The 11,664-nt window shown below is 56.3% G+C and overlaps 3 protein-coding genes across 3 annotated transcripts in view, besides 9 other annotated features; 1 reads left to right on the top strand and 2 right to left on the bottom strand.

Moving 5' to 3' along the window:
• Positions 1 to 2,173, top strand: part of PLXNA3 (plexin A3) — a 19,499-nt gene extending 17,326 nt beyond the window's left edge. Inside the window, exon 33 of the mRNA NM_017514.5 lies at positions 1 to 2,173. This exon is cut by the window's left edge and continues 3,017 nt beyond it. The gene's annotated coding sequence lies outside the window, so the exon portion shown is untranslated.
• On the bottom strand, positions 2,169 to 3,675 carry LAGE3 (L antigen family member 3). Its single transcript, NM_006014.5, has 3 exons — positions 3,122 to 3,675; positions 2,677 to 2,805; positions 2,169 to 2,452 (listed from the first exon to the last, which is right to left on the bottom strand). The coding sequence occupies exons 1-3, from the start codon at positions 3,307 to 3,309 to the stop codon at positions 2,338 to 2,340; spliced, it is 432 nt and encodes a 143-aa protein (NP_006005.2). The 5' UTR covers positions 3,310 to 3,675; the 3' UTR covers positions 2,169 to 2,337.
• Positions 3,069 to 3,288: a silencer, noted in NCBI's record as "silent region_21109". NCBI's record gives its function as "represses an Ori minimal core promoter by ATAC-STARR-seq in GM12878 lymphoblastoid cells {active_cell/tissue: GM12878}" and the evidence as "EXISTENCE:reporter gene assay evidence [ECO:0000049][PMID:35858748]".
• Positions 3,550 to 4,049: an enhancer, noted in NCBI's record as "H3K27ac hESC enhancer chrX:153707495-153707994 (GRCh37/hg19 assembly coordinates)". NCBI's record gives its function as "activates a minimal SCP1, AML or CMV promoter by ChIP-STARR-seq in primed H9 embryonic stem cells {active_cell/tissue: H9 hESC(primed)}" and the evidence as "EXISTENCE:reporter gene assay evidence [ECO:0000049][PMID:30033119]".
• Positions 6,385 to 6,444: an enhancer, noted in NCBI's record as "active region_30063". NCBI's record gives its function as "activates an Ori minimal core promoter by ATAC-STARR-seq in GM12878 lymphoblastoid cells {active_cell/tissue: GM12878}" and the evidence as "EXISTENCE:reporter gene assay evidence [ECO:0000049][PMID:35858748]".
• Positions 8,111 to 11,009, bottom strand: UBL4A (ubiquitin like 4A). The gene is made up of 4 exons (NM_014235.5): positions 10,931 to 11,009; positions 10,622 to 10,727; positions 10,165 to 10,373; positions 8,111 to 10,043 (listed from the first exon to the last, which is right to left on the bottom strand). Exons 1-4 carry the CDS (start codon positions 10,976 to 10,978, stop codon positions 9,933 to 9,935), a joined length of 474 nt encoding a protein of 157 aa, NP_055050.1. The 5' UTR covers positions 10,979 to 11,009; the 3' UTR covers positions 8,111 to 9,932.
• Positions 9,698 to 10,456: an enhancer, noted in NCBI's record as "H3K27ac-H3K4me1 hESC enhancer chrX:153713643-153714401 (GRCh37/hg19 assembly coordinates)". NCBI's record gives its function as "activates a minimal SCP1, AML or CMV promoter by ChIP-STARR-seq in primed H9 embryonic stem cells {active_cell/tissue: H9 hESC(primed)}" and the evidence as "EXISTENCE:reporter gene assay evidence [ECO:0000049][PMID:30033119]".
• Positions 10,393 to 10,542: a silencer, noted in NCBI's record as "silent region_21110". NCBI's record gives its function as "represses an Ori minimal core promoter by ATAC-STARR-seq in GM12878 lymphoblastoid cells {active_cell/tissue: GM12878}" and the evidence as "EXISTENCE:reporter gene assay evidence [ECO:0000049][PMID:35858748]".
• Positions 10,393 to 11,292: a biological region, named in NCBI's record as "H3K27ac-H3K4me1 hESC enhancer GRCh37_chrX:153714402-153715160".
• Positions 10,457 to 11,215: an enhancer, noted in NCBI's record as "H3K27ac-H3K4me1 hESC enhancer chrX:153714402-153715160 (GRCh37/hg19 assembly coordinates)". NCBI's record gives its function as "activates a minimal SCP1, AML or CMV promoter by ChIP-STARR-seq in primed H9 embryonic stem cells {active_cell/tissue: H9 hESC(primed)}" and the evidence as "EXISTENCE:reporter gene assay evidence [ECO:0000049][PMID:30033119]".
• Positions 11,033 to 11,292: a silencer, noted in NCBI's record as "silent region_21111". NCBI's record gives its function as "represses an Ori minimal core promoter by ATAC-STARR-seq in GM12878 lymphoblastoid cells {active_cell/tissue: GM12878}" and the evidence as "EXISTENCE:reporter gene assay evidence [ECO:0000049][PMID:35858748]".
• Positions 11,553 to 11,612: an enhancer, noted in NCBI's record as "active region_30064". NCBI's record gives its function as "activates an Ori minimal core promoter by ATAC-STARR-seq in GM12878 lymphoblastoid cells {active_cell/tissue: GM12878}" and the evidence as "EXISTENCE:reporter gene assay evidence [ECO:0000049][PMID:35858748]".

Genomic DNA, 11,664 nt, shown 5'->3' on the forward strand with positions numbered 1-11,664 from the left:
GTAAAATAATAAAGAGAAGGACGTGTGAGGCAGGACTGGATTGTAGCCCAGGATAAAGAGAAGTTGCGGGATGACAGCTGTGCCGTCGGCCCAGACAGAACCATCTGGACAGAGGACAGAGGATAAGGGAGATGGTTGAAAATACTACCATCATATGATAATGACAACTAAGCCACAGGAAAACAAGGCAGTTTTAACCTCAGGGGAAATCCCTCAGAAATGGATGGAATCTACCAGAAGCATCATGAGAGGAAGAGGAAGGGAAACAGAGCTAAATTGGGGCCAGGTGTGGTGGCTCGCACTTGTCATCCCAGCACTTTTGGAGGCCCAGGCGGGAAGATCACTGGAGCCCAGGAGTTCAGGACCAGCCTGGGCAACAAAGCGAGATCCCCTCTCTACAAAAAATAAAAAACTAGCCAGGCATGGTGGTGCATGCCTGTGGTCCCAGTTACTCAGGAGGCTGAGGTGCTGGGGAACAAGGCTGCAGTGAGCTGTGATTGTGCCAGCCTAGGTGACAGAGCCAGACCCTGTATCAAAAAAAATAATAATAATTAAAAAACAAAAGATCGGCTGGGCGCGGTGGCTCATGCCTGTAATCCCAGCACTTTGGGAGGCTGAGGTGGGTGGACCACCTGAGGTCGGGAGTTCGAGACCAGCCTCACCAACATGGAGAAACCCTGTGTCTACTAAAAATACAAAATTAGCTGGGCGTGGTGGTGCATGCCTGTAATTCTAGCTACTTGGGAGGCTGAGGCAGGAGAATTCACTTGAACCCGGGAAGTGGAGGTTGCGGTGAGCCAAGATCGCACCATTGCACTCCAGCCTGGGCAACAAGAGTGAAACACTGTCTCAAAAAAAAAAAAAAAAAGTGAAAGATCTAAATTGTCAACTATTCGTCAATAATTAATGTCTAAAAAATATTAAGAAAGGAAGAAAGGAATGAGAGCAAAAGAGAGGGAGAGAGGAAAGTGTCATCTTCATAAGCTGAAGGCCAGTGCCACCGTCACCACTGGCAGAGCTCCCCAGATTCTACAAAGGGAAACTGTTCCTCCATATGGAGTAATAGGGACTGGATATGTCATGCCAAATGAAAGAACACGCCAAACCAGACAAAATATATGGAATGCAGAGTATTAAAAAACTGGCTGTGGGCCAGTGAGGGACAGCGACGTGTGGGAGCTGGGAAACAAGGTAAGCCATGCGACTGGCCCAGTGTCCTGTGTGGAGTTTCCTGGTGGAGCCTGGCAGACACCCGGACTTTAGGAGTTGAAACTGATTCAGAGCGTCCCAGCAGCTGGAGTTTGCAGGGCGGAGAACCAGAGAGAAGAGAGCTGCACAGGGAAAGAACCCTGGATATCCACAGAGGCTCCCGTTCCAGTGTGCAGCGGACTACGACTACTGGTGAGCACAGGCGTGTGAGGAAGCTACCCAAGACCAGGGAAGGCCATCACCCCAGCAGGAGAGGATGAACGGTAACTCCAGTGTGCAAGCAGGACAGGGACTAGCAGCTGTCCCCACCCACCAGGATAGAGAAGCTCATGTTCACCTAGGCAGCACTGGCCAGGGTGCCCAGAATGGTGTTTGTTGCCTCCATAGAGGGAAACAAGCCTACAGTTAAGAGCTGCTCTGGTCCCACACAGCACATCTTCAAAGCAAGACTCAAAAGGATCAAACCATTTCCTTGTTTTCTGAGAATAAAAGCAGTTGTACCTCTTCCTTTTCACTCTCAGAAAATCTGATAGAATCTATAAAAGAGCCCTAAGGCTGGAGACACTGTATTTTCCAGGGAGCCAACTCCTTGCCCCAGACACTAGTCAATTGCCCCAGCACTTTCTTCACTGATCGTTAGAGGAAAAAAGCTCATGTTAGATTTAAAAATCAGGAAAAAAATTTAACACTAAACTTGCAAATATTATGTGGTGTATATTACAGTTACACATTTACTATGTAAGTGCAACTGTAAAACTGAGGAAGTATTCCAAAATGTTGACAGTAGTTAATCCTGAATGACAGAACCCAATTGATTTTCATTTTCTTCCATTTCCTAAATTGTCTTCAATTTCCTTGTACTCCTTGAATATCTGAATTCTAGAACCCCCCCCCCAGCAACCCAAGCACAACAAGAATATTGGGAGGTGCCCCAGCTGCAAATAAACTCAGACTTGGAATAGTAGCGCAGTTTTATTTTCTGTAGTAACAAACATTTAAGAACCAGATAAAACATGAGGCCCTCCCAGGAAAGTAGCAACTGTGGGAATTCCTGCCCTAGGGAAGGATGGACGCACTGCCTACAAGGAGACGCAAAGTGGGACCTCGCTCCATTTGCCCAGGCCAGGCTTAGCGGGAAACGGGGGGCCCAAAGCGCTGCATGGTCCGCACCACCAGGGAAAGCTGGTCAAGAAAGTTGATGACGGAAATTCGGAGCAGGCGACAGTCTTCAGCTTTCCAGCGGCTAAAAGTGAGGGGAAAAGAAAATCAAATTGGAGGTGGCAACTCCTGGTCCCTCGCTCTGCCCCTCAGGCACCCAATATAGCAAACCCTTGGGAGCCCTGCCATTACACAGCCCCTCAGGCAGAGACCGGCCCAGCGCACCTGGCGCTCCTTAGGGCTCATCCTTGGATGTCCCCCATGTCTCCATGGGCCGCCTCCCCCAACCCCGTCCCTTTCAGAACTTACACGACCAGGATCCTGCCACTCACTGTGAGATCCTTCCCAACCACCCTTTGGTGGGGCTCGGCATCTGGTGCCAGGGACCCATGGGCGATTTCCGCCTCCAAGGGGGTCGGGAAAGGCACGCTGAGGGTGCTGGGGGTCATTCGGTTAAGGTGCCATCTGATACGATCTTGCCTATGTCTCAGGCCTTCTTGCTCCTCTGAAGCCCCCTCTCAGGTCACCCTGCCTAGTGTCACCCCCTTCACTCCTTACCTCGCCCAGGCCACCGTTAGCAGAGCTTCTCCCTCCATTTCAATGTCTTCCCCTCCTCCGACCACCTCTGACCGTATACGCCAGCCCCGGTCCCCCCCTGCTACCCTTTCCGTCGGCCCCCCGCCCGCCCTCCTTTCCTTCTCCCCGAGTCCAGCCCTCGCTCCGCCGCAAGCAGCCCCCAGCTCGGAAAGGATACAATATGTGCGGCCGCATTCGTGACCCCCTGGCCGCAGACGCGGCGTCTCTGCCCGGACCTGGCGCGTGCGCTGGGGGAGCTCCACCGGCCGGAGCTGCGGCTGTGTCCACGCCCCCGCGGCAGCTGTGGCCACCCCGGCCATCCCCGCCGTCAGCGCCTCCGCCTGCGTCTGCATCCGCGTCCCGCATGACCGCCGCCGCGCCGCTCCGACTCCACCCCCGAAGCGCAGGTCCTACGCCCCGCCCTCTCTGTGGCTCCTTCCCGAAGCCCCGCCCCCTGCGCACGACTCCGCCCACACGCGCCTGCGCAGGTCCCTGGAGAGCCTGACTGGCGCGTGGTCAGTTCCCGCCAAGCGGCCCTGCCGGGGGCCTTCTGAGACCCGGTCAGCGGTTGAGAGGCTGCGGTTTCCTCCAGAAACTCTGCCCTTTCGCGCGTAACTCGATTCCAGAGCGCTGGTGCAAACTGACCCACAGTCGGTCCGGCCCCAGGAAGCCAACCCTGACGGGGCTTTTGAAGACACCGTGGTCGCCTATCCCAGAGGCGCACCCCGCGAGGCTCCGCCCCTAAGCGCGCCTTGTGACCTTAGCGCGCCTGCGCTGGCGGGGCCTTCCCCCTTGTCCCTGGAGGCCCCAGTGAGGCCCTGCGGTGCCTGGACGGCTTCCCGCCCCGTTTCTTACCTGGACCCAAGAGCCCCAGGAGATGTGGCACAACGTCCATGTTGCGATTCGCAGAGGGAGGGTGGCCGGGTCGGGTAACCCCCAAGGATACTGCTCTTGCCCTCAACCCCAGTGCCCAACCAACGGGGCTTCACCATGGACTGTGAAGCATCGGATGTGCATTTTAGAGGAAGCATTTTAGAGCGGGTGGGCTGTGCAGAGCGGGGGAGCCTGTCAGCAGGAGGCCTGCACGGAGGCGAAAAATGACAGGGCCTTGAATGAAAGTACTGGCGGTGGGTCTAGGTCTAATATAACGTGAAAAATCAGACTGCACAACTATGAGTATGAAAATGCCAGTTTAGGCCAGGCAAAGTGGCCCCCGCTTGGAATCCCAGCACTTTGGAAGGCCAAGGGAGGAGGATCACTTGAGCCCAGGAGTTCAAGACAAACACAGGCAACATAGTGAGACCCCGTCTCTACAAAAAATACAAAAATAAATTTTAAAAGTTAGCTGGGAGTGGTGGAGCGTGCCTGTAGTCATAGCTTCTTGGAGGCTGAGGAGGGTTGATTGCTTGAGCCCGGGAGTTCGACACCAGCCTGGGCAACATAGTGAAACCCTGCCTCTACAAAAAATACAAAAATTAGCTGGGTGTGATGGTGCACACCTGTGGTCCCAGCTACTAGGGAGGCTGAGATGGGAGGACAGCCTGAGCCCGGGAGGCAGAGGCTGCAGTTAGCCGTGATCGCCCCACCGCACTCCAGCCTGGTTGATAGAGCCAGACCCCGCCTCAAAAAATAAAAGAAAATGCCAACTTAGTCTCTTACTGTACATATGTAGAGAAATCCTAGAACAATACAGCGTCAGGTAAATCCTCATGATCTCTGCTAATAGTATGGTGGGTGACTTTAATTTCCTTTTTGTGTTTTCCCTCCAATTTTTCCGAAGTGGTCTTTTATGACATTTACAATAAAAAAAAAAGTATTTAAAGTGACATCAGTCCGGGCACGGTGGCTCACGCCTATAATCCCAGTACTTTGGGAGGCCGAGGCGGGTGGATCACTTGAAGTCAGGAGTTCAACACCATCCTGGCCAACATGGTGAAACCCCCGGCCCTACTAAAAATAACAAAAATTAGCTGCGTGTCGTGGTGTGCGCCTGTAGTCCCAGCTATTCGGGAGGCTGGGACAGAAGAATCACTTGAACCCGGGAGGTGGAGGTTGTGGTGAGCCGACATCACGCCACTGCACTCCAGCCTGGGCGACAGAGGGAGACTGTCTCAAAAAGAAAAATAATAAAAATAAAAAATGAATAAATAAAGTGACATAAAATTTCCAACAGTGTTTGTCATGTTTGGACAACCTATTTTCCTCCTTTGCAGTCATAAGGAAGGATTAAACACTGAACTATATCAGCAAATCCTGTTGGGTTTCCCTCTGAAATAGGTTCCACATCAGCCCACTTCTCGCTCTCCACTGCTAGTCTGCTGTGGAAGCCAGCATCTTTCCTTGACCTCCCTCAACAGCTTCCTGGCTGATTCTCTTTTACACTTTCCCCTCTACAACCTATTCACCACACCGCAGAATGACTTTTTAATTTCTAATTTAAATTGCATGGGGCTGGGCGCAGTGGCTCATGCCTGTAATCCCAGCACTTTGGGAGGCCAAGGCAGGCAGATCACTTGAGGTCAGGAGTTCCAGACCAGCCTGACCAACATGGTGAAACCCCATCTCTACTAAAAATACAAAAATTAGCCAGTTGTGGTGGCAGGAGCTTGTTATCCCAGCTATTTGGGAGGCTGAGACAGGAGAATGGCTTGAACCCGGGAGGTGGAGGTTGTGGTGAGCCCAGATCGCACCATTGCACTCCAGCCTGGGCAACAAGAGCAAAACTCTGTCTCAAAAAAAAAAAAAAAAAAATTAGCCGGCTGTGACAGTGTGTGCCTGCGGTCCCAGCTACCAGAGAGGCTGACGCAGGAGGATTGCTTGAGCCCAGGAAGTCAAGGCTACAGTGAGCTATGATCTAGCCACTGCACTCTGCACAAGTAACAGACTGAGACTCTGTCTCAATCAAACAAACAAACAAAAAAGTCCATGATATTCAGGAAAGAAAGCAGAGATAAAGGAAAGGTTTTTATAGGGAAATGGCAAGTAATAGCTGTAGAAAAAACTATCAGAAAATTACCATCTTTGCAACCACCAATGTAATAATTAATTGTTATTAACTTAATAATTGATTCAGGATGGCCAGGTGTAGTGGCTCACGCCTGTAATTCCAGCACTTTGGGAGGCCGAGGCGAGTGGATTGCGAGGTCAGGAGTTTGAGACCAGCCTGGCCAACACAGTGAAATCCCATCTCTACTAAAAGTACAAAAAAAATTAGCCGGCTGTGGTGGCATGCATCTGTAGTCTCAGCTACTCAGGAGGCTGAGGCGGGAGAATCTCTTGAACCCAGGAGGCAGAGATTGCAGTGAGCCGAGACCACGCCATTGCACTCCAGCCTGGGTGACAGAGTGAGGCTCCGTCTCACAAAAAAAAAAAAAAATCGATTCAGGCAAGGAATTGTCGCTGGATGGCAAAAGCATTAGCTGAAAGGTTGTTGGGGACAGGATATTCACAAAGTCCCCAAATATTACCCCAAATTACTTGTGAATCAGGAAGGGAAACTGCGTCTTTACAGGGGAGAGATCTGGCAGCAGCCACCTGGATCACGTGATCAAACTGAGCGTCCTCAACAGTGGGGCAGCCTGACCCTGCCAGCTGCCTGATGAGGGGCTGGGGGTGAGTGTGGTCAGAGGAGGAAAGGATACAGTAGCAGCTGCCCTGGATGCTTCCAAAAATATTCTTGCCTGATTGCCTATGGAGAATGGCTAGTTGGGAGAGGCAAAGATGGCCTCCTGCTCCCTCAGAAGCCTGGCTGAGTGGCATTGCCAGTCCTCCAGCCGGGCCGTGGAGAACACGTGTGTGCTGAGGAGCCGGCCAGTGCTGGACGTGAGTGCCAAGAGGGAAGGGACTGTGTCTTCCAGTCTCAGGGTTGCCAGCACCTGGGACACAAGGGGGCACTCAGTGATGAGCAGGGTGTCGTCTGCAGCAAAGTCAGGCGCTGTCTGGAAGACATGGGCTGGAGCTCAGGAGAGAGGGCCGGGATGAGACATAGACATGGCAGTGAGGCACAGAAATAGAAAGCAAGCTGGATGAGCTCCCCGAGGAGTGATACAGAGGGAAGAGAAGGGGCTCAGGGACAGAGCCCTGGGGCACCAACATTGAGGGGTGGGGTGTGTGTGAAGAACCAGCAAGAGAGCCTGAGTAGGAGCAAGTGGTGGAAACAGCGGGAGAGCAAAGGCAGAAGAGGGTGAGGAATGAGGACTGCCGGCCATTCAGTGGGGCCCTGAAGGTGTATGCAGGCCGCTCCAGCTGGGCCCTGGAGGAGGACAGGGCAGTTGCTGTGTGTCTCTCATCTCTCCTGAAGGCTTTTCAGGGCTGGGAGGCTCAAGGCTGGCCACCTCTGCTGCATCTACTCCTGGGAGTACCAGGCCCGGGCAGATCTATTGGAGCTGGTGAGGCTCACATGGGACACCAGCTGATCCATTGCCAGGGAACCTCCCCACCCCAAGGCAAATGCTGCTGTCCTCTGAGGCCGCTCTTCCTCCCGTGGGCCCTTGGGAAACGACACCAAAAGCACCTCATCCCAGCTGGGCCCTTCACTCATGCTGCTATCTCCTGATGTCATTGTAGTCACACCATGGCCGCAGGACTCAGATACTGTCCCGAGGCCCCTCCCTGAGGGGCAGGTGGTGGGTCTCAGGGCCCTTCACCGGGCAGGGGGCAGTGGATGACTCGGTGCTACCTCTCAGGGCGGACAATTGGCTCAGAGGGGCGCAGCACCTGCAGTAAACATTCTGACCCCTGTTAAAGGATCTCAGCATTGGGGGGGCTGCAGCCTGTGGCTGCTCCATCTTCATGCAGAATCCCCAGTGTCCTCTAACGATCCCCCCACTTCCTGTCTCCCATCCCTGCAGTGTTTCCTCTCTCTGGTGCTTTCCCTAACCCAAGCCTCAGAAAACGCTTTCCCTGTGTGATCTTGACGCCTCCAGCCCTCTCCTCCACTACCTGCGAGGTGGCCCTGATCTGACACATGCATGGCCCCTGTAGTGGACAGCTGCCATTTGCGGCCACCATTGAGGATATCCATTCATCCAGCCCTCCCCCAGAGCCTTCTGTCCCTTGCATAGCCCATGTGTGTCCAGGGAAGTGGCCCCATGCCTAGCTCCAGGGAGCCAGCCCTGACGGAGAATTACCCCCTACCCCAGCCAAAATGATTGGACGCACAATCCAGTTCTGACCAACGAGAAGAGTGTTTATTTGCTGGGGGCATCTGAGACAGCAGAGGTGGTACACAGAGAAGATGCTGCTCTGGCAGTGAGGGAGGGATTCCGTGGAAGCTGCAGGCAGCCATCTTTTCATCCTCGGAGGTGGTGGCCTGGGATGTAGCAGATACCAACGCAGAGGGAGGCAGAAGACACTGGGTGAAATTGCTCACCTGCTGCCAATGCCAATACCACTGGACTTTTCACTTTCATAAGCCAAGAAATTTCCGTTAACTGATTAAACAAATTGCCTTTATTGTTAAACCAATGATTGGATATCAGAAACAGCCTAGCTAATATAGCTCCTTTTGGATAAAAGTAGAAGCCTCACATTCACCTTTAATGTTATTTCACTTTTTCCAAAATCAATTTCCTGGCACCACACAAACAAGAACACTGGTAAATGTATCACCTGAACTGCAGGCCACACATGCTCACGAGTGTGTCCCTGCCGTAGGTGGCTTTGAAGCCATATACATGGCTCTCCAGCTCTCGTGGGGGGCCAGGGGCTTCTGTGTGCTCTTCAAAGCCTTCACCCATTGGGCCTCTGTCCATCTTTCCAGCCTGGGGACCCAATATTTGCCCCACAAGGCCCAGGCAGGAGGGCCTCCAGCACGCGCAGCCCTGACCACACTGTGAGCAGCTCACTTGGCAAGGGTGAAGGGCCGGAGTGGCGTCCTCCTGATGTGGCTTCCTTCCAGCCTCTACCACCCCTGGGGGCCTCCTCCAAGGAGCAGGTGGTTAGATGTCCTCTTGTGCCCACACACACGGCAGGGTGGAGGAGGATGAACCGGAACCCAGTCCATGCTTCTGCCCCCACCCTGGCACCCCAAGGTTTCTTCTCAGGCAACAAGGAGCACACAAAGTGAGCCCCTGTACACAGGTGGCTGGGATATGTTCATCTTCCACAGGGAGGCCAGTGCTGGGGATGAGGACAAAGGCCTACGCCCAGTCCCAGCTCTGACACTGCCTTGCTGAGTCACCCATCAGCCCTAACGCTTCCTGGACGAGACAAGCAGATAGGGTGCCCCAGAGAGGAGCTGTGTCACTAAGGGCCAGGACACCCCATCTCTGGGTCACACTTGGCCACGGCTTCATTTTTGGCTTCAGTTTGTTTACTGAACAGAAGGGAGAGGGGCCCTGTGAGACAGAGGACACTGACTCAGGTCGGTGAGTGGCCCTCACTGTATAGAGTCCATGGCTGGGGACCAAGTGGCACTGAGACTCGCCCAAAGTCACATCACAGAGCTGGGGTGCCTTGCTGACTCCCTGGCCCCAATCTGCTTTTCCATTTGTCGAACGCACACTGGCACACTGGCTGCAGCAGCTGCGGGGGTCGGGGGGTTCCAGGGCTGGCTGTCACTTGGCCTCCTGCAGAGGTAAGCTGAGGGCTATGTTGGACCCGCCAGAAGTCAGGTGACAGCTGCTTTCCCTTTCAGGATCGGGAGGGAGTCACCTGAGGGTATATTCTCAGTGGGCTAAACATGACATGCGAGAGCCCAGCTCTCCAAGCGGCCCCTTCCTCCTTCTCACACCAAGGCACTTTCAGAAGCCGCTGGATTCCGACTGGGGCTGTGCCACTTCATCGCCGGTGCCTCTGCTGTGCCGGCTCTCCTCTTCTGAGGGTGTGGAAGCAAACCCAGGTCAAGCTGTGAGGAGTGCCTAGCACCTGGCCAGAGCCAGGTACATGCCAGCTATGATGATGATGAGCCCAACTGCAACAGGAGAACACACTTAGTGCGACATGCAGCGGTAGCCTGGCGTTGGGCACCTCCCCATGCTCCGAGAATTCTATTTGGAGAAGCCCTTCTCCATTGTCTCAGTCACTTCAGGGTGCAGGAAGCGGCTGGCCAACCGTTCGATGTCGTCCAGCGTCAGGCGACTCAGGGACCTCTCGTAATCCTGGGGAGAGAAGGGCAGGAAGATTCAGGGGCTGCCAGTGGTGGGGGGGCATACACTGCAACAGAGGTAGGGGCTGGGAGCAACTGGGCCTGAAGAGGATGCCCAGGGTTACCCTTCTCACCCTCTGTAGCTGTTCCAGGACCCTGCTGGCATCTGCCGCACTGAAGTGGCGGGCCAAGACTTTGGAGATCAGCTGCCAGACCTGCGGGGGTGGGGAGTCGGCCAGCCTCTGGGCCTCGCCTTCTTCTAGTAGCACCTTCTCCAGGGGTTTGACCACTAGGTTGAGCTTGGAGTTGGGCCCGATGCTATAATCCGAGAGTCGTTTCCCATCTGCCAAAGACAGATCGATGGGTTCCTCCTCCTCCACCGCCGTGGGGGTGGCCCGGGGCGCGAGGCCGCCTCGGGCGGCGGGAGCGGAGCGCTGCGGCATCCGGCTGTGAGGCATGCGGCCGCCTCCCTTGGGGTCATGTGGCGCTTGGCGCCCGCACCCCGACCCGACACACGGCTGCTGGCCTCGGCCCGCGCACCCCGGTCCCGCTTCCTGCGGGGCTCCCCGGGCGTCTCCTCTCCCTGGGTACCTGCCAGGGCCTTGCCCTTGAACAGCAGCCGCTGCTGGCGCACTGGGACGTTCAGCTTCTCGGAGACCAGCTGCTTCAGCGTGGACACCAGCTCGTCCTCTGGCACCTGGCCGCGCGGAGGGTGGGAGGCAAGGGTTGAGCCCGCGGCCCCCAGACGGCGAAGCCCACGCGTCCGCCCCCGAGGGCAGCTCTCCCGGCTCCCGGCCCTCGGCCCGGCCGCCCCGTGCCCGCCCTCGGCCCTGCCGGTCCCCCTGCCAGGAGCGGGCGAGAGAGCGCGCCGGACCCGGCGGCCCGGCCCGGGGACCCTACCTGCAGGCTGCACTCGCGGCCCTGCAGCGCCTTCACCGTCAGCTGCATGGCGGTCGCGACGGCGTCCACTCGGGCCGGCGCGCACCCCAACCACCCCCCGCCGCGCGCCGCCGCCCCGGGCGCGCGCTGGAACCGCCCGCCGCCGCCGGAAGCAGCGAGAGGGGCGCGCCCGCCGCCCGCGCTTCCCGGCCCCGCCCTCCTGCCCCGTCCGCGCCCCGGCCCCGCCCCCCGGCCCAATTGCGCCCCGGGAGGAGTCCCCCCGGGGTCCCGCCTAGCATGCGCGCATCGACCGCCCTGGCCGGCGGACCCCTCCCAAAGCAACGACGCGGGGGAGTTGGGAGCAGGAACCAGTCGGGCCAGGTTGGCGTCATCTGGGAGCTGGGACATGGAGAAGGGAGGGCCAGAAGGTACGCTCGCCCCCGCGGACTGCCTGGCCCACCTCACGCGCCAGGACTGCTGGCGGCGCCTGGCCCTGCATACCCACAGACGGCCCGCCCCCGCTCCCTGTCTGGTGGCTTCCTACCTCCTCCTTTCTGGTCTGGCTGCGAAACGCTCCACTGAGCTTGAGAGGGGGCAGGGGGGCTACGCCTCTGCCCTCATCCTCCCACCTCTCCCAGAGTGGGGACACCCCCGGGGAGGGCTGATAGGGAAAGCCTATGCAGGGGTCACCGTGTCACCCAAGCTGGCCCTCCACCCTGGTCCACACTTACCCAGCACACTCTTTCTACCCCCAC

This window comes from Homo sapiens, chromosome X (assembly GCF_000001405.40).
Source record: "Homo sapiens chromosome X, GRCh38.p14 Primary Assembly".
Lineage (NCBI taxonomy): Eukaryota > Metazoa > Chordata > Mammalia > Primates > Hominidae > Homo > Homo sapiens.

Coding starts and splice junctions, on each gene's coding strand:
- UBL4A (NM_014235.5), bottom strand. CDS start 10,978: ATGCAGCTGACGGTGAAGGCGCTGCAGGGCCGCGAGTGCAGCCTGCAG. Junction 10,728..10,930: donor GCCGCGAGTGCAGCCTGCAG/GTAGGGTCCCCG, acceptor CCGCGCGGCCAG/GTGCCAGAGGACGAGCTGGT. Junction 10,044..10,164: donor TCCTGGAACAGCTACAGAGG/GTGAGAAGGGTA, acceptor TTCTCTCCCCAG/GATTACGAGAGGTCCCTGAG.
- LAGE3 (NM_006014.5), bottom strand. CDS start 3,309: ATGCGGGACGCGGATGCAGACGCAGGCGGAGGCGCTGACGGCGGGGAT. Junction 2,806..3,121: donor CGAATGCGGCCGCACATATT/GTATCCTTTCCG, acceptor AATGACCCCCAG/CACCCTCAGCGTGCCTTTCC. Junction 2,453..2,676: donor AGTGGCAGGATCCTGGTCGT/GTAAGTTCTGAA, acceptor CCTCACTTTTAG/CCGCTGGAAAGCTGAAGACT.